Source organism: Homo sapiens, chromosome 5, assembly GCF_000001405.40.
Source record: "Homo sapiens chromosome 5, GRCh38.p14 Primary Assembly".
In the NCBI taxonomy this organism is placed as follows: domain Eukaryota; kingdom Metazoa; phylum Chordata; class Mammalia; order Primates; family Hominidae; genus Homo; species Homo sapiens.
In genome coordinates this window covers 135,570,556-135,594,479 of record NC_000005.10, presented here as the reverse complement: position 1 = coordinate 135,594,479, position 23,924 = coordinate 135,570,556, and the positions used below count along the sequence as shown (strand labels likewise).

At 49.5% G+C, this 23,924-nt stretch overlaps 2 protein-coding genes across 3 annotated transcripts in view, besides 1 other annotated feature; one reads left to right on the top strand and one right to left on the bottom strand.

Moving 5' to 3' along the window:
• Positions 1 to 15,308, bottom strand: part of SLC25A48 (solute carrier family 25 member 48) — a 309,466-nt gene extending 294,158 nt beyond the window's left edge. For both annotated transcript variants that reach the window (NM_001349335.2, NM_001349345.2), the window contains exon 1: positions 14,883 to 15,308. The gene's annotated coding sequence lies outside the window, so the exon portion shown is untranslated. The remainder of the gene's footprint in view (positions 1 to 14,882) is intronic.
• Positions 9,236 to 9,737: an enhancer, noted in NCBI's record as "H3K4me1 hESC enhancer chr5:134920433-134920934 (GRCh37/hg19 assembly coordinates)". NCBI's record gives its function as "activates a minimal SCP1, AML or CMV promoter by ChIP-STARR-seq in primed H9 embryonic stem cells {active_cell/tissue: H9 hESC(primed)}" and the evidence as "EXISTENCE:reporter gene assay evidence [ECO:0000049][PMID:30033119]".
• A 180-nt stretch (positions 15,309 to 15,488) lies between the features above and the next one.
• CXCL14 (C-X-C motif chemokine ligand 14) lies at positions 15,489 to 23,801 on the top strand. Its single transcript, NM_004887.5, has 4 exons — positions 15,489 to 15,765; positions 15,941 to 16,046; positions 19,795 to 19,908; positions 22,612 to 23,801. The coding sequence occupies exons 1-4, from the start codon at positions 15,702 to 15,704 to the stop codon at positions 22,625 to 22,627; spliced, it is 300 nt and encodes a 99-aa protein (NP_004878.3). The 5' UTR covers positions 15,489 to 15,701; the 3' UTR covers positions 22,628 to 23,801.

Here is a 23,924-nt window from a genome sequence, read left to right as displayed (position 1 = left end):
TGCCAGAAGTCACACAGCTAGAGAGTGAGACAGCAGGATTTGGAGCTAGTGTTCTCTGGCGCCAGAGTCCTAGACTTTCCACCACATCACGCAGTGTCTTACTGTGTTCTAGGTTGTAATGGGACTTGGGGGTCAGGGATGTGTCAGGTTTCACCAAGCCTCTGGTTCTACTTAAGTATCCCCAACTGAAGCCACTTTCTCCCAAGGGAAATTTAAACAAAGAACAGTTCTGTAACTAAATAGATGTCTATCCCAGCCAACACCAAAGCTTTAAAAGAGCTGATTTTTATACTCAGGTCCTCAGAAATTGAAGATGAAGTCATTGTGGCAGCCCTCTGACTCCTTGACCACTAAAGTCACCGTGTTTGAGAGTTCCTCTTTTGCTCCTGACTAAGCCTTGTGTTCTTACCTAGGGCTATCCCTCGGGGGACTGTTCATTCATTCTGTAATTATTTAGCAAGACCATGCTGTGTATCAGATACTGTGCCAGGTAAACAAGATGATGCAGTTCCTGTGGTCACAAAGCATTCAGTCCCATCCAGCCAGTGACCAGGGGGGCTGGTCCCAGAAGTTAGCAAGCCTTGACTCCAACATTTCTCCCAGCTATGACTCCACAAAGAACAATAATGTCCCCATTAACTCTTCCTCCCATTTCAGAACGTTTGTCTGTCATTCAGTTTGTTAATTACAACTAACGCTATGATCAGACTTCAAAGGTCCATCGATTACATCTCCAAGATCCATAATCTAAGTACAAGATCTAATAAAAGAATATCTGGAGTAGGGACTACTCCTCAAAGCCCTGGATGTCAGGTTCTCACAGAAATGGACCACTGCAATAGTTTTAGCTTATCAGTCAGTACCTGAAGGCGCTGTCCTCCATCTGCCTCCTGGGAGAAGCCCTTGGAACTTTGTCTATGGTGCTGGAAACCACAGATGCAGCTTAATCAACTTCAAATGCTACTTAATTAAATGGAATTGCTTCCCAGATCCATCAAAGCCCCATTTTTATCTCCTATTCTGATTGGATCTGCCAGAGGCTAGAAACACGAAATATCCATTGAGTGTTGACCTGAGGTTAAGACACGTGCATTGTGCCTGTGGCTGACTGTGGGTCACAGCACAGAAAACCAGCTGTAGGTGAGCCTCTGCAGGAACAAGAAGCCTATACTCAGCATCTTCCTGTGGCCCTGCCATGCACATAGCCCTACAGATTCCAAGATCAAGAAGTCCTGGCTTCTGACCTCAGGAGTGGAGAACACTGAGGACTCCATCAGCCGTGACTAGAAATGAGGGACTGGTCAATCAGAAAGGAGGGGTGTGGGGGGAACAATGCAATACAACCTTGAAAGCCTGGAGAGTGTGCTCTGAGTCCTCAGACCTGAGCCCTCACTATTAAACAGGAGTCAGGAAGCCGGGAGCCTGGGTCCTGCTGAGCTCTGGTGGGGAATTTCCCCTGACAGGTGCTAGAGCTCCAGGAGCTTCAGTGGTGGTTCAGGGCAGCCAGTGATATTCATATAAGTTATAGAACGTTTATACCAAGCGTCTCTGTCTCTCAAGCTCTACCCCACACTGCACTCTCTCTTTCTCTCTGGGCCTGAGAGTTCTGCCTTAAGGCATTGATGCTTTTGGCAGTTTCAGAGTTTCTGAAAGCCACAGATGTCTGTTCTTCACTCTCTAGTACCTGCATGGGAACCAGCTCTCCCCAAAGTTCCCAGCGCCCTCACTTTACCTTGCTGCCTCTCAGGGCCATCTCTAGACCATTTCAGGACACACCTGTGGTGCTCTCTCTCACTGTCTCTCTCTCAATCTCTCTCTCACACACACATACACACACGCTCACTCCCTCATTCCTGACTTGCCTTCCTCTTCCAGTAAATCACACCTTGCCACTTTCCTTTTCCAAGAGATTTAACCTTTCATGAGCTATTTCCTCAAGCACTGCCAGCTGAGCCCTTAACACGCCCTTCTCTATAATGGTGTGCATTTGCCAGTGACACCTGTTACACATGCGTTCTACAGATACAGTCCTGGTACTAATCTGATGAGCACTTACTACATCCCAAAGGCATGAACATCTCATAATGAACTTTCAGAGACAGAACAAAGTCAAGATGTTTAGGAATGGAAGAGCACTCCTGGAGCAGCAGAAAACACCTGTTCCTGATAGGCCAGGCTTCATCACGCCTCCCTGATGAGGCCACGGGGGTGAAGGGCTCAGCGCTTAGTAGGTGTGTGGCACATCAGCTCATGTTTCTCCTCCTGCCACCACTTCACCAAATCCAGGAGACAGGCATGGAGCCTCTTCTCACCGTAGATCCTTGCCTCAGAGATAGGATGCCAAGCTCTAGTCCTGCCTTGGCACTAAGGGACCTTGGGCCAGTCAGTCCTCTAACTTGGCCTGTTTCCCACTCTAACACAAGCAGAGCTGGTTCTCTTTGAGAACCACAGAGCTTTGTGGTTCTCAAAGGCCTTTCATACTACAAAGTCTCCCATCCCAGGAGTTCCTCACTGCCTCTGAAGAGTTGGGGGCAGGTTCAGCCAAGAAGCTGCTTAGCTTAGGTTCTCCGCTCACAGAGCCTGAGTGATCTATTTGGGAGAAATCCCAGGAAGCAGGAGGGAGGGAGCAAGGAGAGAGAGACTAAAAGGAGAAAAGGTAAGGTGGGTGTCAACGTCACAGGTATAGGCAATAGGGCCCCCATTTTGCCAGGGTCTCTGAAAGCATTCAATTGCCTCCCAGAACCGCTCCTTGAAAGGCAGGGCCAGAACAGTCACTCACCAGCTCCCACTCCCCATTGGCTGGGATCTGCCCCAGAGGTATGCACTCTGGCCACCCAAAGCCCCTTCCACATCTCCAGGCTGTTTGAGGAAAAGCAATGGGAGCTGCGTAGGCTGGAGCAAGCGCTGCAGAAGAAAGCAGGATACATGGAACACTCCAGGTGGGTTGAGGCAGGGAGAGGTGAGTCAGAACTGTCCAACACAGCTGCCACTGAAATTGGAGGTGGGCCCAGAAGGCAGCTATGATGGGTGGTGTAGGCCCGTGCTCCTGCCTCCAGGTCCTGAGTCATGTTCCATGGCACAGAAGGACCATCCCCCGAACATCCAAGTGATGCACCAGGCACTATTCTAGACATCAGGCAAACAATTGAGAACAAATGCGCCACACTTCTGTGCCCTGAGTAAGTCCCTTCTCTGCTCTGGGTCTCAGTTTCTTTATACCCTAAAAGGGGATCAGAATGCCTGCCTCCCAGAGTGGCATGAGAATATCTGCAGGGTCATTGTGTGACCTCCGATGCTTTGCATTTGCATCATCATGGGGGTGTAGGGACCCCAGAGAAGTGCAGCTTAATAGTGGAATCACAGGCACCCTGCAGTTAGGGGAAAGCTTTGGAGAGAAGGCAGCTCTGGTCACCCAGATACCCTGGAGGCTCCTACCTGAGTGCCAGGCAGCACTGAGAGGCAGGATGATGCTGTGGTGGCACATGAGCCTTAGAGTCAGGAGGGTTGAGAGTTCACAGCCAGCTCTGCCCACAGGCTGGGTGACTTCCAAAAAGTCATTTATTCTCATCGCCAATGGGCATGTGCCGAACATTGGGATGGGTTGAGAACTCAAAGAGATGTTGTCTGTAAAGCACACGGTAGGCCTGCAGCCAATGCCCTCTTTGGGCTGCCCTGCCTGAGAGCCATGGCGTGTCTGGATCTCAGGTCTCACAAAGCCAGCCTATTGTCTTTTCTCCAAAGCCTCCCACCCTCTTTGCAGGACAGGGAACAGCGTAACCCCCAGCATAGGTGTTGGGGTGGGGGTGGGCCAGCAGCAGCCCTGGAAACGTTCAAGCTTTACGGTCCCCCAGCAGGTCTCTGTTCTCCTCCACTAGCTCAGCCCCCAGCCCTCTGAGAAGCCCCGAGCTTAAGGGAACCAGGTGCCTTCATTTTAAAAAAGGAAAAAAAAACCCACACAAATAAAGGGTGATTTTGCAAGAGGAGTGTGGTGCATTCTTGGGGGCTCCAAGCAGTTTTACAGGCCCAGACACAGAGCAAAGGCACTCAGGGACCATGCAGAGCTCTCAGGCCCTGCAGGCTGGCTGGGGCCGGGGGCCCATGGGCAGGGATGGTGTGGGAAAGGCCCTCCTCCAGCTCTTCAGGGTTCTCCAACTGCAACCCAGGCAGGCTTTGCTCAGAGGGTGTTCCTCTGCACATTGATGGGGTGAAGGAGAGGAGGGAGGTCCAGTTCCCTGGGAGTCAGTTCACATGGACTTCCCATGTTGGGGGCCCTATATGCACCAGGAAAGCCCTATCCTTAAAAGGGTTTTATCTTGCCATGGATATGGGATAGGTACAGGGAGCCCTGAACAAGAACTTCCCAAATCGCTATTCCCAGGCACCACCAGAAATGTGGTGCTTTTCTCTGCCTCCAAAAAAAACAAAAAAGCAAATCTGGGAATTTACCTCATAATGAAAACCAATAGACTGGATTTAAAATGCATCTTCAGGCACTGTGGCTTATGCCTGTAATCCCAGCACTTTGGGAGGCTGAGGTGGGTGGATCACCTGAGGTCAGGTGTTCAAGACCCAATTGGGCAACTTGGTGAAACCCTGTTTCTACTAAAAATACAAAAAATTACCTGGGTATGGTGGTGGGCACCTATAGTCCCAGCTACTCGGGAGGCTGAAGCAGGAGAATCGCTTGAACCCAGGAGGCAGAGGTTGCAGTGAGCCAAGATCGTGCCACTGCACTCCAGCCTGGGAGACAGAGTGAGACTCCGCCTCAAAATAAATAAATAAATGAATACATTAATTAATTAATTAAAATGCATCTTTAAAATCTTCCCTTTTTGCAATACTACATGGGACATCCCAAATTCAAAGTATGAATGAATGCATCAACCACCAAATACACTGAAAATGGGCACACTCAGCAAGACACAGAGGCCCGTAAATGTTACCAATAGTTACTAGAAACTAACTTTGACAAGCTGATATTTCAGGGCCTTGGCCCTTCAGCATATTGACTTGGAAAATTAACCTGGAGCCCCTACAGGACTGAGCCCAGTGCCTGGTGTCAGCCCAGCCACCTATCAGGGACCAGGCAGACTGTGACAACCATGACACAGTTCCCTTTTCGTCGCACTATGGGAGCATGTGGTTGAGGGAAATGGGGAAGCCAAGGTCTAAGGGCTTCCCAAGCCACTGCAAGTATAAACTAGAGACACTCTTTGAGAACCCCAAATTTAAAATCATTTAGCTGGAAGTTGTTCACATTTCATAAAATCTGTATTTCACCCCAGGACCTTTTAAACCTCCCTAGGCATTTAAAGTGGGGATTATACAGCGTTTATGAAACAGTGTGCCCCAAAGAAAGATGCGTACACAGGATTATGCAGTGTGACTGTCATTATGTGAAAGTTTCTGTGCACGGGCACAGGCTGGACTGGTTCTGGGAAGGATGGAAAGTTCCATGTGCCCCTTTTTCTCTTCAGTGATGCTGTACTGTCTTCAGAATGGTATCATTTGTTTGGTTCTTTGCTTATTTTTGCTTGTTTGTTTGTTTTTTTGTTTGTGAAATGGGAGTTGAAATGGCCTCAAACAGACCTAGGCACCAAATCCAATTTTCCAGTCAAATTAATTATGAGTTCCTGATGCAGCATTCAAGGCTCTCCGCAATACCCTCTTGCTGCCCACACTCCCTGTGTATACTCTACCTCCCATCAAACCAGCCAGTCCCTGACTCATCACATGTGTTCTGACCTCAGGCTGGACCTCAGCTGCCCTGTCCCTGCGGGTCACCTTCACTCACCCCTCTCTACCTGAGCAGTCTTCCTCATCCTTCAAGGTCTATTTCCACTACCTGCTTCATGAAAGCATTCCCAATCCCCAACCTGGATGGGACTGCCTTACAGCCCCCCATCTGGAATCCTCGCATCCGTAACTCATTTGAAGTATTCTCTCAGCCTGCTGGCAAGGGCCTCTCTGGCCTGCAGACATCCTGCCGAGCCTCTGGCCCGCAGCCCCCGCAGCCCTGCAACCCCGGCACAGAGCAGGCACTCAGCAAGGGCTCAACTTGGTGTTTATAGAGGATTTTGCTTACCAGAATAAAATAAACCCCCCATTTCAGGCCAAGGATGGCAACTTGGATAATCATGTTTTTCATCCCAATCCAAATGGATTTCCACATGTGTTAGTGGCTTTTTTTCCTCCACAGGATAAACAAATTTAGTCTCTTTGTGATAGCTCAAATACATGTTTAAAGAACTGCCCCCAAATGTTTCATCTTCAAAGACAAAAACTCAGGAAAAACTTGTACAATACTTCTGTTAGTCCAGCTGAAACAGTAGCTACAAGAACATTAATTCTCCGGCCTCTGCCTTCTTCCTTGGACACTGGACCGTCAGCCACGACACCAGGAGCAAACCCGCCCTGCTTTCCGTGGTTCTGAGCCTCTTGAATTCGGGCCTCCGCCAACACACAGCAGGACATCTAGCCTTACACAGGGGCCCGTTCTCAGAGTCCCCATACCACACTTTCCCTCCTGCCCTCTCTCTCTAGCATCCACATCTGGTTTCCCTTCAGCACAAGTTTCACAATGGACAGATTTTGCACTTCCAGGATTTATGGTTCCTGCTGCCCCTCCTTGCTTTTGATATGATTCCATTATGTGCTTAAAATCTGGGCCGCACTCTTGGCTCTGGGGAGCTGTTTATGACAATTCTTTTATGGCCTTAAATCGCTCACCGTTAAGAACCTGATCATGTTCAGAGGCAATGACTAGTTGCTAAGAAAGAAAATTGCAACATGTCTCAGATGGTTGCTTGAAAAGTTTTCTTCATAGAAGATTCATGAAGGCTAGTATTTACCTGGCAGGTAAATCCTCTGAGGAACACCTTGGACCCTGTTCTCCTCCATCAGCTGCCAGAGACTGATTAAAAGCAAATTAGTCACAATCTTCTCACCCCAGACCCAATCACTTCCTCCCTTCTGCTGTGCTAGAGACCACACTGACAGAATTGGTAAAAATAAAAACACCAATATCACAAACACTCCCTCTTGACAGCAAACGAGACTGAGAACATTTTTTCTTTTCCATCTGTGCATTACATTTTTTCAGAAGGCAAAGAATTTCAGGAATAAGAAGACAAAAACTTTTATGAAAGACAGGGCATGGTGGCTCACACCTGTAGTTCCAGAATTTTGGGAAGCTTAGATGGGCAGATTGCTTGAGCTCAGAAATTCAAGACACGCCAGGGCAACATAGTGAGATCCCCGTCTCTACAAGAAAATTTAAAAACTAGCCAAGGGTAGTGGCATGTGCCTGTAGTCCCAGCTGCTTGGGAGGCTGAGGTGGGAGGATCACTTGCGCCTGGGAGGCAGAGGTTGCAATGAGCTGAGATCACACCACTGCACTCCAACCTGAGTGACAGAACAAGACCCTGTCTCAAAAAAACAAAACAAAACAAAAAAAATACAATGCCCTGACCTTTGGGCAAGAACTTCCCTGAACCAAGGTTTCTCTTGCCTCCCATCTCCCTCTCTGCCATCCTTCTTTCGTCCAGCAGCCAGACAGATCTTCTCATAAGGCAAAACCGAATCACACAACCCTGCTTGAAATTCTCCAATGGCTTCTTATAATCCAGGTGATGAAGCCCAAACTCCTCAGCTGCCCAGGACCCTGCACAATTTGGTGCTGATCTACATATTCAGCCTAATCACCCTTCCCTCCCCTGCCCAGATCCCTGCCCTACACACACAGGGCTCCGTTAGCATCCTACAGTTTCCTTGACCTTCCCCATCCCATAGCAGTTGTTTAAGCTGTTGTCTCTGCCTGAACCATCCTCCTCAATGCCTGCTTCCCTATCAGAGCACGAATGCCCACTGTGCCCTATGAGAGCTTAGCAGTGTGCCTAGCCTTTCTCTCCCCACATTCCGCCCATGGCAGACCCAGAAGGCTCCATGTCTGTGTCTGAGATCACTGCAGAAGACTCCTTGGACCACCACATTACCACCCTCTGGTACTGGATGTAGGGTTGCCAGTTAAAATACAGGCCACAAGTTAAATTTGAATTTCAGTATAAACAATGAATAATTTTGAGTATAAGTATGCCGTAAATATTGCATGGGCATTTTGTATTTTTTGTTTGTTAAAGTTGACAATCCTAGCTGGTTGAGAACTCTGGGATGCCCTCCAGGGAGAAGAACTGAGGACCAGGTGGCAGCAGCATGCAGACAGGAAGGTAGTGGGTGACACCTGGGCAAAAGGTAGGGAGCGTCCCCCCACCCTCCTCCTGGGAGGCAGCGTATGGCCGTGCAGAGCAGGACTCCAGAGTCAGATTGCTTGGGTTTGAATCTCAGCTCTGCCACTTGGTAGTTATTTTGGGCAACATACTTAACCTTCTCCTCAGTTTCCTCATCTGTAAAATGGGGATAACCTACTTTGTGTGGTTATGAAAATTAAATAAATTAATATTTGTATAGCACTTAGAACAGTCCTTGAGACATAGTAAGCATTCTATAAGCATTTCATAAATATAAAGCAAAAGAAATTAGCCAAGCCAACCCACAGATAAGGGGAGTGAGTCTACGAGATTTAATAATCATAAAACAAGAATGAACATTTATGGAACACTTACTATGTGACAAGATACTGTGCAACATGTTTGTTCTATATCAGCTCATTTAATCCTTATCACAGCCTGATTATTTATTATTATTATTATTATTATCTTCTTTTTACAGATGAGGAAGCAGAAGCACAGAGTGATAGACTAGTACTCTAGACCAGGAAGTCTGACTCTGTAACACACTAGACTGTGATAAACTGTGATCCACATTAATTCATTCATCCTGCATTCGTTCATCCTGCATTCAATCATTTCTTCATTGAGCACCTACTGTGTGCCCGGCCCTGTGCTCAAGCTGGGGAACTAGAATTAATAAGAAAGACACAGAGCAACCTCAGAGGATCATGGACCTGAAAGAAGACCTCATAGGAGCCTTTACAAGTGTGAGGAGTGGCACTGGAGACAACAAGGTCTACGAGCCACGCGGACAGCAGGTGCCTCTCCTACCCTGGGGCTAGGACGGGAGTCAGGCAGATGTGTGCAGTCAAGGAGGGCTTCCCTGTAAAATGACATCTTCGCAGTTTCAGGAAGGCAAACGAAAGCAAACAGCCTAGCCAAGGAGACAGGACTTGGCGGTGCCTGCACAGAGGCCTAGGACTCTGCTGCAAACATGGAACAGGGCTGGTGAGAGAGGCAGGAGGTGGGGCAGAGCAGAATGAGGACAAGTGAGGCCGGATGGAGGGGCTGCTTGTTCCCCTGTGCCAAGCAGTGGGGGACAGCTCTAAAGATGGGCCTAGACCCTCACCATGGGACTCACCCAAGCCACCAACAACTCTACCTGCCTCTCTGCAGTGCCACCTGCACAGCACAGGTGCTCATCGCCCATCGCCAGCGTCTGCTCAGTGAGGCTGAAGGCTGCCCAAGCCCTCGCTGAATCAACTGCTCCTGAGTTGCTGTTATAACAAGAACATTCTGAAAAACTGGAAAGCAAGGAGAGAAGCTTTACAACAACAATGCCCAACATTTCGCCACTCAAAGAGAATGACGTTTGTAACTCTGTCTTGCCATCCTTTGTACAGAGGTTACTGTTTTGCATACTTATAATCACAGTGTTTACACAACCTTGTGTTTTTTCTACTTACTGCATAAGCATTTACTCCACAAATTTAGAGCTTTCATTGTTTTCTTAATCCCCCATTGTTGGGCATTTAGTTTAAATCTTTATTTTTAACAAGGACTAGCTTTGCATGTGGTATTTCTCCATTATGAGAATTTTAAACAGATTTCTGAAGTGGTTAATAAGATGAAATGGTTTACTTCAAACAGTCTGGATACCATACTATAAATATAACTTCCCCAAATTTTGTACCAATTGATAGTCCCATGAGTGATGCTTAAGTGATGCTTCCTCACTTTACCATTATCAGCTTTGGATGTTGCTATTTAAAATAAACATTTCCTCATTGAGTGGGACCAAAACCAAAATGCCGTGATCCTGCAGCACTGCTGTGCTTTTCCTTCATTGCCAAAGAGGATGCATGTTCTTTGATGAATTGGTTAATTGCCTTTCTTTTTCTCCTGAATTGTCCTTTGATGTCCTTTGCTCATTTATATGTTAGGGCCCTCTTCGGAAATATCTTTGCATGTGTTCTTAATATAATAAAGATGCTTGCCTGTAAGGGAGTGTTGTTGGATGAATAGATGGTGGAATAAATGCTACTTGTTGGTTTGTCATATTTGCTGCAAGCATTTTCTCCCATGTTTAGGGGAATCTTGCAGTGCCCCCTGTGACCCATCTGAGTAACAGAGCCCCCCTACATACACTCTGCCTCGGGGCTGCTTTAAGCCTAATTCAATACTGCCTGGCTGTCCCCCACATCATTTTCTCTGGGCTTAAGTTACTCAGGATCTCTAAATATTTGCAGTGTGAAGAACAAAACCAGAGGTTGTTCTTGGGAACCTTGGTCCTTCAACTTCCTTCACCCCAGAGCATGGCCAGGGAAGGGGTCAGCATGCAGGGCTGTAGCTGAAAGAAAGCTGCACAGAGGAGGCAGCTGGCTGCCCAGACTCCACAGGCTGCAGGTGAACAGACAGAGGGAGGAGCTGGAGAGGGAGAGGCACCCGCCAGGCTTGGATTCAGAGCCAGCAGCCACACAACACAATGGAAGCAGGTATTTTGGGGTGACCCACCATGTCATGAGTGGTGATGGGGCCAGACAGGTTACTGGAGCCCAGGATCTTGCTCTGGCCTAAGTAGCTAGGTACAGGACACAGAGACAGGAGGCTGGCTAACATTAATGCACAGGGAGATCTTGTATGCAGTCAACCCCATTGCTGGGCCTCAGTTTCCTCATATGTACAATGAAGGCCAGTTGTGGCCTCAGCCTCTACCAGTGCTGAATTCTAGGATTCCTGTCCTGCCAGGGAAGTAAAAAGGACTCCTCTTCTGAAAAGAAGGTCAGTCACGAAAAGAACTAAAAGAATGGGGGAAGGAATTGCCCTGGATCCCAGCTCCCAGGGCAGAAAACCAGCCTTGACCAGTCAAGACCCCTTTCTAAGCAGACCAAGGAGGTAGTGCCCAGACACCTGTGGGATTTCCTGGAAAGTCACACTCCTGTTATCACCACCTCCTCTTCCCAGAGACTTCATCTCTAAAACAAATGCCCTGAGGATGAACTGGCTTCCCTGGGAATATGGACTCCCCATGGCCACCCCTACACACACGCAAACACACACACACACACACGCACACACACTTTCTCACATGCAACCTTGTAGCCTGTGCAGCCTGGATTCAGCAGTACTCTCACATGCTGAGCTGTTGCCTGAAACATGTTTTTATTTACTCCACAGATAGGGAGTGAACCCCTGCTACATGCCAATCACTGTTGTAGATACTGAGGATGAGCAAGACAGACACCCACAGACACAGACAGATCATCCACAATGCACCCCCAAATAAATATGAAAATGTACAATTTGAGGTTGCTGCACATACAATGAATAAACTAAAATCGGTGGCAACACAGAGAGGGACTGTTGTTGGGGGTATGCTCGTGGGATTAGAACTGGATGGTGAATATTGGAGCCCAGGCTCACTGAGGAGAAGAGGGTTGCCTGTCAGCCCCTGGGGAGGAGCACTGCAGGTGGAGGGGCCAGTGAGCACAAAGACCCTGAGGTGGGAACAGGCTTGGATGTTTGAAGGTAAGACAAGGCAGAGTATCTGGAGCACAGCCTGTGGGGAGCATGGCAGGTGCTGGTCATGATTGGGTGCGCACTGCTGGGGACTTGGCTTCCACTCTGCATGAGATCGGGAGCCAGTAAAGGGTTCAGAGCAGGGACTTCCCCCAGGAGATCACTGTGTGAGCAGCAGGGACCATGAAGGGCCAGGAGTGGCCTCCCTCCTGTGGTCACTGGTTAATTCCTTTCCATCCTTCATATCTAACTCAATGGCCCTTTCCTCCAGGAATTTGTCCCCACCTCGTCACCCTGTCAGATCCCCTGATGAGTCTCCTAGCACCAACCACCCTCCAGGACACTGACCTCTGCAGGAGTTTCACACTGATCTCTGTGGTTTATAGCTAATGTCTGCCTTCCCCACTAGACTCTGAGCTGCTTGGGGACAGGCACACAGCTGCCTTGGCTCACCTCAAACCCCCAGCACCTCGTACAACGCCTGGGACACAGTGGGTGCTCAATAAATGTAAAGAGAAGAAATAAGCAAATCCCTGGGGTCTCAGCAAAATTTCCACTCCCTCAAGGAGTGATGTCCTGTTTCCACTTCCTCCCTCCTCTGTGCCCCCACACTTCACGTCTACCTCTTCTGTAGAATCCAGTATGACCATGAATGTGTTGACATCTGCACACATGCATACACACACACAGGCAAGGCATGTGTGCTGTCCTTCACTGTACCCCAGGGACCTCCTTGAAGCAGACAGTGCCACTGTACAAAGAACGGCCTCACACATGCCCACCTGCTCAGAGGCCCTCGGCTTGGGCTCACTAGACAGTCTGTGCCCTGAAGGTGTGTCAGGGGCCAAGCCCCCTCCCTCACCCAGTTAGGCAGCATCCCCCACAGACCTGCTGGCAGCAGGGGCCTCATGCTCTCCTGTACCATGGCTCCAGAAGAACTCACACAAACAAGGGCTCAGCTCTGCTTGCACAGTGGCTGCCTTCTGCAAACCAGAGATCTGCATACACAGACTGAGGAGTGTAACTGAGGACAAAACACTGGGACGTCTGACCTCTGGTCCAGCCCAAGAAGCTGGGGAACGTTGGTCCATATTTCTAGAGCCAACTACTTTTTCCTGTGAAAACTCAGTGCCCACGATCGCTGGTGTTGTTAGATCCCAGTTAATCAATCAACATATTCTTGAAACAAACATGTTAGAAATAAAATCGTTAATAAAAAATAATACTTTACATGCTCTAGGAAAGCTTGGTATTTAAGAAATTCCTTTGCAGCATAAAATATATTTTTTTGGAAAGCAATTGGCAATTTCTATGAAAAGTCTTAAAATGGGCATGTGCCATGGCCCCATGATTCTATTTCTGAGGGCTGATCCAATGTATTAAAACCTACCCCAAAATGGAGCTACAAGAATATTTGTCAAACAGCATTGGTTGTAAGAGGGTAAGGTTGAAAACAATCCAAATGTCCAGCAAGGAGTAGTCAAATTAATTCTGGTACATCTGTATGACGGAATACTCTGCAGCTAAAATCATGATAACCGCAATGGTCAGCACATATCAAACACTTACTCTGTGTTGGGGACCACATTAAAAGCATTACATGCACTATCTCATTTAATTCTGCCTATGCTGTACATATTATTATCATCTCCATCTCACAGATGAGGAAACCAATACCAAATAGAGTTAAGGTATTTGCCCAAAGTCACACAGCTAGTCCCTAGGATGCATACTCAGGCAATTTGACTCCAGACACCAGCCTCTTAGCCATTATACTACCCGGCCTCAGATGAAACCATTAAGGGAGCTATTGTTGTAGCAAGGCTAGCCACATGGAGCGATGTTCACAATATGCTAATAGGTATAGCAAGCAGGTTATTAAAGACTACATGCAGCCTGATCCCATGTGTACATGTGCACACAAAGCAAAAAGAGGATGCTTTGGGAAGATTTCACCCAAGATTTTACTTGCGTGAAAATGTTAGTTTTCTTCTGCTTGGGTTTTCTGATTTTTCTGGGCAAACGTGTTGTTTCTATATTTTAAAAAATTATTTTTAGAGTTAAAAACTAACATAAATGCCAAAAGTCACTCCCTCATACTCATCTCATGCATAAATGCAAATGTCCAGCTATTGGCTTTGCTTTAGGTATAGGCACAACAGCACGCATAGGCGCTGCTTGCTTTTCATGGCTCAGCTTCTTCTTGAAGCAGCAAGGGCTCTCCAGTTGGGAAGAGACGACACAGATTCTTCCCATTGCACCCTTCAGCAGACTGTCCCCATCATCCAGAAGCCCTCTGGGCATTTTTGCCTCCAGGGAACTGCCAGGCTGATGGCATAGAGCTGGGTGAGCTCTCTCCTGACAGCCAAGCCCAGGGACTCCAAGAGCTTGAGATGATCCACCTCCTGTCTCTGGGTCTCTCAAGGCAGCAAGAAGTGAAGGGCAGACAGGCCTCAAAGCAACAGAGTGGTCCAGGGACAGGAGTCCCAGTTCTGCAGCCGTATATACTGAGGACCCTCCTGGCCTAGTCACCTGCTTCCTAGCTCTGTGACCTTGGACAAGTTATTTCTTCTCTCAGAGCATGTTTCCACACCTGTCAAATAAAGAAATTAAAAGTACCAACTTGGAAGAAAAGTACCAATTGGTAAGAATCAAAGTAATAGATAAATTAGACATAAAACGATGGTGCCAATAAGTAACATTTCCTGGGTACTGACAACATGTATGATTTCTATAGTTCTCACAGCCACCCTATCAGAAACACTGTGATGATCTGCACTTTACAGATGATGAAACAAAAGCTGAGAGCGGTAAAGTCACTTGTGCTGGAAAGTAGTGAGGAGGGAATTTCTGCCACTATGGCTGGGCTCACACCACTATACCTCGCATTCTGGCACAATGTCTAGAACATGGGAAGGCCTTCATCCAGATGGTTACCACTGTCATCGCTCTCCACTAGGGCTCTCTACCTGGCTTTGGAGAGTAGTGTGAGAGTGAGGACTCCTCCTGGTTCTCCCCACCACCCAGACACTCACACAGCCACCAGGCCACTGACCCACTTTAAGGAGCTTTCCTTTGGGAGTCACCAAAACTCCTCCCCAATACCCGTCCCCACCCCCGCATACACACACATACCCTCTTTGAGTCAGTTCCAGTGATCACAGTCAATGACTTTGCTGCTGGACAGTCTATGACAAGCCCCTGTCCAGAACTGGCCTTGTGTTCTGGCCCAGCAGGGGCCCTTGGGGGTCAGGCCTGCAGGCACTCACACTTGGCACCTGCTCCAAAACCCTTTCAGGTCTTTGAGGATCTGAGCCCTGGGCCTGGGTCTCCCGCCGGCTCGGAAAAGCTGGCCTGCCGGGCCAGAGAGAGAACCACACGATTCAGAAAAGCAGTGCCCTTCAGCAGCCTCTCCACCGTCTGGGCTCCCCAAAGGCAGAGCGGGACGCTGGAAATGTGTGCGCGCTGTGGTATGGGTGTGCAAGTGTGCGAAGGCGGCGTGTTGTGTGAGCGAGAGGGTAGCGGATGTGTGTGTGCGTGTGCGCGCGTGGCTCCGGGTGTGCGCCGCTGCGATAGCGGGTCCTTTCCCGGGGCGGGCGACGGGCGGGCTGGGAAGGTCTCCTCCCCTCACCACATTGAGAAATCTCAGTGAGTCACCGAGTGGTTCTGCATATTAATGAGCTCGCTCGCTGCGAGGGCAGGAGCGGATTTAAAAGAGGCCAGGGCGGGCGGAGGGAGGCTGTGGAGAGAGCGCGGAGACAAGCGCAGAGCGCAGCGCACGGCCACAGACAGCCCTGGGCATCCACCGACGGCGCAGCCGGAGCCAGCAGAGCCGGAAGGCGCGCCCCGGGCAGAGAAAGCCGAGCAGAGCTGGGTGGCGTCTCCGGGCCGCCGCTCCGACGGGCCAGCGCCCTCCCCATGTCCCTGCTCCCACGCCGCGCCCCTCCGGTCAGCATGAGGCTCCTGGCGGCCGCGCTGCTCCTGCTGCTGCTGGCGCTGTACACCGCGCGTGTGGACGGTGAGTGCGGGGAGCTCCCCTTGTCGCCGTCTCGTCTTGTCCTGTCCTGGGGAACCCAAGCGCCAATTTCTAGGCATCCTGGGATCCCGCGGGGGGTGGTCTGGGTGGGCACCAAGGTGGTCGAGGGGCAGGAGACCGCCTAGCAACTAAGCCGTTGCCCCGCGCTCGCTCGCAGGGTCCAAATGCAAGTGCTCCCGGAAGGGACCCAAGATCCGCTACAGCGACGTGAAGAAGCTGGAAATGAAGCCAAAGTACCCGCACTGCGAGGAGAAGATGGTTATGTGAGTTCTCGCTCCTCACCTTGAGGGGGTGCGCACTGCTGTCAACCCAATGCCAGGGCACAGCCTGGGCCTGGGTCGGGCTAACAAACATTTCTCTCCGACTTTGTCAAGGCCCTGGAAAAGCCTTTGTAATTGCCCAGAGAGTCCTTAGGACGCTGGCGAGACACTCTGGAAGACAGTCGGGAAGGGGGGTCACTGTCCCGCTCCGGAACAGCGCCTCCAAGTTCACCCTTGCTAGGATTCAAATGAGCAGTCTCCCTATTTGTACCATGGGCCACCCACTCTGCTAGGGCCATCAAGGGTTAAAGGGTTCCCTTGTGCCAACTCAGAAAACCTAGACTGAAATCACTTAAAACACACTCACACCCAAACTGTGAGGCGTGCTGCCTTCCTGTCACTGGATAGAGGACTAATGCAAACACTATCTTAAATCCTGAGTCTCCTTCAGAGCCTTGTTCCAGTCAGAGACAAGTGGACCGCAAGTTTTTGGCTCCTAGAGATTTTATTTTGAGAACGCTCCACGAGCTTCCCTCACCGACTGTACTCCTTGTGGGTCCCCAATACGGAGCAGTACTGCAGAAAGTGCTCTGCTGGGGTTAATGTGCCACATGGCTGGAGCCCTGCTTGGTGGGGATGTGGGGAATGTTGGAAAAACTGGGGCAGAGTGAGAGAACACTTAGTTTCTTGCTCCTCCGCCTTCCCAATTAACCACTTGAGGCCAGCACCGCTGCCTCCTCATCAATATGCTCTTGGCCAGGAAGGGAGCCCTTGGCAAAGCGGCTACCAAATATTTGCCACAGACCATTGGCCCCTCTTCCCCTCCCCCAGAAACAGGACGCACTTTATTCTCAGTCTGGGCAAGTGCCCTCCACCAGCTGGCCCCCACCGGCGCAAAGGCCTTCACAGTGTCTGCGAAAGCAGTGCACACCCCTACCCAGCACCCCCCATCCCCGTCTAGGGGCTACACTGTCAGGCTGAAATTAGGGGAATTCAGAAATCCACTGGAACTGAGCTGACCCCACTGCCTTCCTTCACAGACACCTAAATTAACTTGCTTGTCCCTACCCCTTGCCTTGCAGACCAAATTCAAAGAAAATACCCAAAAATCCTTTTGGGTGGGGGCCAAGTGTCAAATGAGCTGGGAAAGGAGCTCCAAGCTCCTCAGGGCTTCCAGTTTGGGGGCTAAGAATGACAGGGGAATTCCAAGTTAAATCTCACTCGTCTAAGAGCTGAAAACCACTCTATTAACCAAACAAGTTTCTGAGACCTTGCAGGGGAAGAAAGCAGGGTAAAGGATGCAGTGATACCTAAAAAGGACAGAGCCCTCAGTAAATAGGCTTGCTCTTTTCCTGGCTAAACTTTTCCACATATAGAGAAAAACTATAGCTAGGCAAGTGTGAGAAAGGCTTTACGGAGCCTTGTAGAAACGTGCAGGGGCCTCAGGAGATCAGCACACAATCCAATCACCCTCTACTAAACCTCTAACCCACCCCCTAGGGCCTCCCACTCCATCCCTGAGGGCTGGGGGCTCCTCTCCCCCTCCACAATCCTAAAACTCTCCAAATCAGATGAGGGGCCAGCACTTTTGCAAAGCAGGTTTTCAGCCACAAAGGCTGAACAAAAGCAAATTTTCCAGCTTACCCTGAGTCACCCAGAAATCTCTGCTGAGGCTGGGGGTGGGGGCAGGAGTAGGGGCGGGGGGAGAGGTCCGCTTTGCAAGTGGGAGTCCTTGCACCCAGAAGGATCCAGGAGAGTCCGAATTCTAGAAAGAGCAATTTGTGTCATAGGTCCATGGAGCTCTCACCAAAACCCTTACCCCCACCGCCAGAACTGTGGAGGAGAGGGTCACAGGACTCAGAATTTCTGATAGTTGCTGGAGTCACAAATCCCTATGTCTGCACTCCACAACCGATTTTCATAATCCCAGTATTATGACGTGGCATTTGAGCACTGTAGTGAGAGGGCTGAGTGACCCTTCCTGCTCTCCCTTCCTGCTCTCCCTGACCTTCAGGATTTGGGATGCACAGCCTGCACACTGACCTAACTGAGAAAGGGTTTTTATCAGGCATTACCACGTCCTTTCCTTCAGAATGCTAAAGCAGCCTTGTAGGCAGAAAGAGAAAAGCATTTGCTAAATTCCTGCAGGGTGACTGGGCACAGTGGGGGAGAGAGACAACCAGAGTTCACTCTGAAGCCTGGCCTGTGCTCAAGGCTAGAGGAATGACCCGGAGTCACAGAGGAGTCCAGTCAAGGCAGGCACCATCACCTGGCATCAGCAGGAAGACCCGCCCCTGCCCCAAGGAGCTTAGGCCCTAGCAGGGACCCCAGAAACCCAGAGCACGGAGAAGGGAAGAGAACAGGTTGCCTAGGAACATTATGCCCCCATTCTGGTGGCAAGATCCGATTTTCTTTCCCCATCAACTGGGAGACTGAAGTAATGGGAATCCTGTCCCTTCTAGAACTTAGCCCATATAAGCCATGACATTTTCCATTTGGTTAACAGTGGGGAACTAGCTGACCTCTGTCCCTCTCTTCTCACTCTTTCCACTCTCACTTCCAGTCTCCCCCTTTGCCCTCCAAGCCCATTCCAGCACCCCAGTCTACCATCATGGCTTGCATGGCTGTGACCCCTCAAGAAGTGGCATCCTCACCTCTCACCTTGCACTTTTCCAAATACCCTAGGTGGTCTCTTATTCCCCACAACTCCTGTCATGCCTGTGGCCTAGAGGTGCTCAGAAGTTCTGAGCAGCAGGCTTGCCTCGCCCTCCAGGCTGGAGCCCCCACAGCAAGGCTACTCTTTCCCCTTGGCCACTTCATCTTCCATGACCAATGACTAGTAACAGTAACTGTTAATTGTGCATCTACCAGGTCCTGGGTACTTTCTAAAGATTGTATCTTTTAATCATCCCAATAACCCTGTGAGATAGTCCTATTATTATACCCATTTTACAGATGGCCAAACTGGATTCAGAGAGGTTACCCAAGGTCCCACAGCCAAATTTGAGATTCAGTCCCAGGCCCTTACAGTCTGCACAACACCTGCTTCTCTACCACATGGCTAGGCTTCTGCTGGGTGTTGGGACATTGGCTGATAGAGGCCTGAGATCTTCAGGCTGTGCAGAAGAGAGGTCTTACTCTTCTGCTTAGGGGTGAGATACCTGGGACCTCCCACAAGGCCAACAAGACTTTGCCTCAGGATCAGGAGATGCCCAGCCCTGGGACAATCTGTGGTGGGTCAGAGGGAACTGGGGTTGAGGAGACAGAAATCAGAGTGTCTGCGGGGCATGTCTGAGCCTTGCCATGAGCTCCTCAAATCCAAGGACAGAGGTTTTGGCATGTGCACCTTGCTGGCATTAGCTTTCTCCACCTCCTGATCCCAGGCTCAGAGAGGCTGGGAGTCCTCTGACCTTTGTTCCCCAAAAGAGGCCTGAGCCCTGGAGACAACACACTGCATGAGGTTGGGGGTGGGAGAGACCATCCCAGACTCTCAGGACTCCCAGGGGAAAAGTGAGGGCTGCTCACTACATACAGGGTTAGGCCCTAACATGGAGTCAGAGAATAAGGGGACAACCAGAACCTTCCAAAGAGCCAGCTTGGAAGTGAGCACACAAGTCGGCTCCCTTGAGAGGAGGCAGGAAGCCACAGTCTCTCAGGGCCCTGACTTAGCCCAGGGCTACTCACAGGCCACACAAGAGGCAACATGTTATTCAGGCTCCTCAACCCTCCACCTCATCCTGCTCCGTTTCAGCATCACCACCAAGAGCGTGTCCAGGTACCGAGGTCAGGAGCACTGCCTGCACCCCAAGCTGCAGAGCACCAAGCGCTTCATCAAGTGGTACAACGCCTGGAACGAGAAGCGCAGGTACGCCCCGCCTCTACTCACCTTCCTTCCCACCAGACCCAGCTGTGGCTCTCAGGATGGGAAGGGACCCCCCCACCAGGTCATCTAGCCCCATCTAATATGTGAACACCCACCACAACATCCACAGCAAACAGATACTCAGACAATGCTTACATACCCCCAGGGACAAGGAACTCACCACTTACCAAAGCTAGCTATCCATCTCTTGTCCATTTGCAAGCATGGCAGGTTTGTCATTTTGTAAACTAAAGTCTGTCTCACTCTAATATTTGCATTATAATCTTAATTCCTCTTTTTATTTCAGTTACGTAAGTTGTTAAATGGCAGAGTGAGCACTGGCATGGCTGCCAGGGGAGCTCTGAGGACTTCAGTGGGGTGAAATGTGACCACTTAGGTGACTGTGTATGTTGGCTATAAAACTGCGCTATAAAACCATGAGGTGCTGAGGATGATCCTTGCCAGAAACATGTTTTCTTCTCCAAGGTGCCCCACTCCCTCTGCTGCCCAGAAACCTGATAAACTCCTTCCTTCGCAGGTGCTGGAAGGCACCACAGGTTTGGCTCTTTAAAATCAGAGCCACTGTTAACCAAGGCGGGCAGCAGTGTTAAGACCACCAGCACCCTGAACCAGCCCTGTACTTACTGGGCACTGTTTCCTTAAAATCAGAAGGTGGCTTCCCATCTCTGGTTTCCTGGGGTCTTATGTCTGTCCTCGGAGGGAGAATCCAGTTCCTAGCTCCCCTGTACCATGCGAAGGTAGCCTGTCCTGTCTCACTCCTCAGATACGCAGAGTCTGTTTACACATTTGCCTGCATAGCATGATCAGGAAGCACACACACACACACACACACACACACACACACGCATGCATGCACACACCATGCAGGTGACTTCCCCAGGAACTAGTGCCAGCACCCCTGCTGCAGAGGGGGATATCAAGGCTAAATGGAAGAGAGGGGTGACTTGCCTGGGAGCACAGGGCAAAGCCAGGACAGCAAACCAGGCCTCCTGGTGCTACCCCACCAGCTGCCCTCACAGGGTGGAAGGTACAGCCATAGTGGGTGCCTGCATTGCCCTCCCCTCACCTGGCCCAGCCATGCTACCCCAAGCTCAGCCCTGTGACCAGCTCTCCCAGAGCTGACACTCGGGCTCAACCCCTATACCTGAGCCTTTTTTGCTGCCTCCAAAACAGCCTCATCTGCAGTTGCTTGAAATAGAAAGTGATGAGAGCAATAAATTATTTTCTATAAATCTGCTGGGAATGAAGCCCTCTTTCTGGTCAAGCCAGGCAGCTCATGTGGCAAAGGCCAGAACTGCGCAGTCCACACTCTGTCACCCTCCAGGCCCTGTGTCATCAAAACTGGCAGAAGGCTAATCCCATGGGCAGGTTATGGAAGAGGCTGAGGGCATCTTGATCTGATTGCTGGGGGATACTCAAACCTTTAGCTCACCTTGCTTCTCCCCTCCACCTGAGCTGCAGCCTGGAAAAGGAGGCACCCACAGGTCTAAACATGGCCCTGCTTTTTTTTTTCCTGAAAATTCCAATAACAAAAGCAACGAGAGCCTCTCACTACCAGGCCTTCTCTCACTTTGCTATAAAATTAGTTCACCCCTCTTTCTTAGAGTGTTGAGGTCCCTGCCCTCCCCACCTCCCTCCCCTGAAACAAGTTGAAAATATCTTAATGAACATAGAACAGTGATAAAGGAAGTGTTTGAAGTCCTCTTTGTACAGAGAGAGAGAGAAAGAGAATGCCAAAGCTAGGTTGGAGGAAGTAGAAGGGTATACGGTGGGCTCAGGCCCATGGGGGCCACACAGAGGAGCTCTGTGCACTTCAGAGACCAGAGCTTCCAGGGAGCTTCTGGCCACCACAGGAAGCAGCCTAGTCAGGCATTTTATTTCAATGGATAATTCAGTGGTCTTACTCAGAAATCAAGAACGAGACAGAAAAGTGATAGGCTAAGTGTAACGTATGGCCCCAGGGCAGCCATGGGGCAGAACTAGAAGAAAGCAAAATATCTAACTGGGCACAGCTTGAGAGGTGAGGGGAAGGTGGGGCTGGGAACGAGTAGAGATGAGGCAATGCAGCCAGGAGCAGGGACTGAGGGGCACAGGCCTCCTGCACCACTGCCCCACCCCACCAACCACCTCTTCTGTCTCCAGGAAGCAGCTTCTAGAGCTAGCATTCTTCTGGAGGACATGCATTATTTGGGCAAAATACAAAGAAATATACAAGCCTAAGTCAAGTAAGGGAATGCCTCCCACCCTTGCTATTTTCTCTAAATAGAGAGGCTGAGTACAGACGCGGAAAGAAACAAGGAGGTGTGGGAGCAGCCCGCCATGCTAGAGAAAGACTACATTCCTGCCACTAACAGTCGGTGGCCACTGGGCAAATCTTAAGTCTGTGGTGCCTCAGTTTCCTCATATGCAAAGCGGGTTTGTTCCATAGGCCTCTGAGGACAAAATGAGATTGCAGAAGTGAGATTGCAGATGGTTAGAAAAGACAAAGCCACACTGGTGTGAGTTTTCATGGTCCCCGGGACCACATCCTCAGAAGGATCCCTCCCACTTCTCCTGGGGGTTCCTGCAGTTCTGGGACAGGGGCATTCCCTGCAGACCAGACGTGAATGAAGCCGCTTAGCCAGCATCTTGTGAACGGCCTGCCTCATGTCCTGAGCCACTTACACATGTGTTTTTTCTCCCCAGGGTCTACGAAGAATAGGGTGAAAAACCTCAGAAGGGAAAACTCCAAACCAGTTGGGAGACTTGTGCAAAGGACTTTGCAGATTAAAAAAAAAAAAAAAAAAAAAAAAAAAAAAAAAAAAAAAAAAAGCCTTTCTTTCTCACAGGCATAAGACACAAATTATATATTGTTATGAAGCACTTTTTACCAACGGTCAGTTTTTACATTTTATAGCTGCGTGCGAAAGGCTTCCAGATGGGAGACCCATCTCTCTTGTGCTCCAGACTTCATCACAGGCTGCTTTTTATCAAAAAGGGGAAAACTCATGCCTTTCCTTTTTAAAAAATGCTTTTTTGTATTTGTCCATACGTCACTATACATCTGAGCTTTATAAGCGCCCGGGAGGAACAATGAGCTTGGTGGACACATTTCATTGCAGTGTTGCTCCATTCCTAGCTTGGGAAGCTTCCGCTTAGAGGTCCTGGCGCCTCGGCACAGCTGCCACGGGCTCTCCTGGGCTTATGGCCGGTCACAGCCTCAGTGTGACTCCACAGTGGCCCCTGTAGCCGGGCAAGCAGGAGCAGGTCTCTCTGCATCTGTTCTCTGAGGAACTCAAGTTTGGTTGCCAGAAAAATGTGCTTCATTCCCCCCTGGTTAATTTTTACACACCCTAGGAAACATTTCCAAGATCCTGTGATGGCGAGACAAATGATCCTTAAAGAAGGTGTGGGGTCTTTCCCAACCTGAGGATTTCTGAAAGGTTCACAGGTTCAATATTTAATGCTTCAGAAGCATGTGAGGTTCCCAACACTGTCAGCAAAAACCTTAGGAGAAAACTTAAAAATATATGAATACATGCGCAATACACAGCTACAGACACACATTCTGTTGACAAGGGAAAACCTTCAAAGCATGTTTCTTTCCCTCACCACAACAGAACATGCAGTACTAAAGCAATATATTTGTGATTCCCCATGTAATTCTTCAATGTTAAACAGTGCAGTCCTCTTTCGAAAGCTAAGATGACCATGCGCCCTTTCCTCTGTACATATACCCTTAAGAACGCCCCCTCCACACACTGCCCCCCAGTATATGCCGCATTGTACTGCTGTGTTATATGCTATGTACATGTCAGAAACCATTAGCATTGCATGCAGGTTTCATATTCTTTCTAAGATGGAAAGTAATAAAATATATTTGAAATGTACCAAAATTCTAGACTGCCACCTTTTTTCTATTTAATTAAGCTAGGATGACAATAAAATGTTTACCATGTCCTGAAAAAATAAGGACAAATATGCTGGGAAAGAAAACTGGTATTTCCCAAATACCTGTC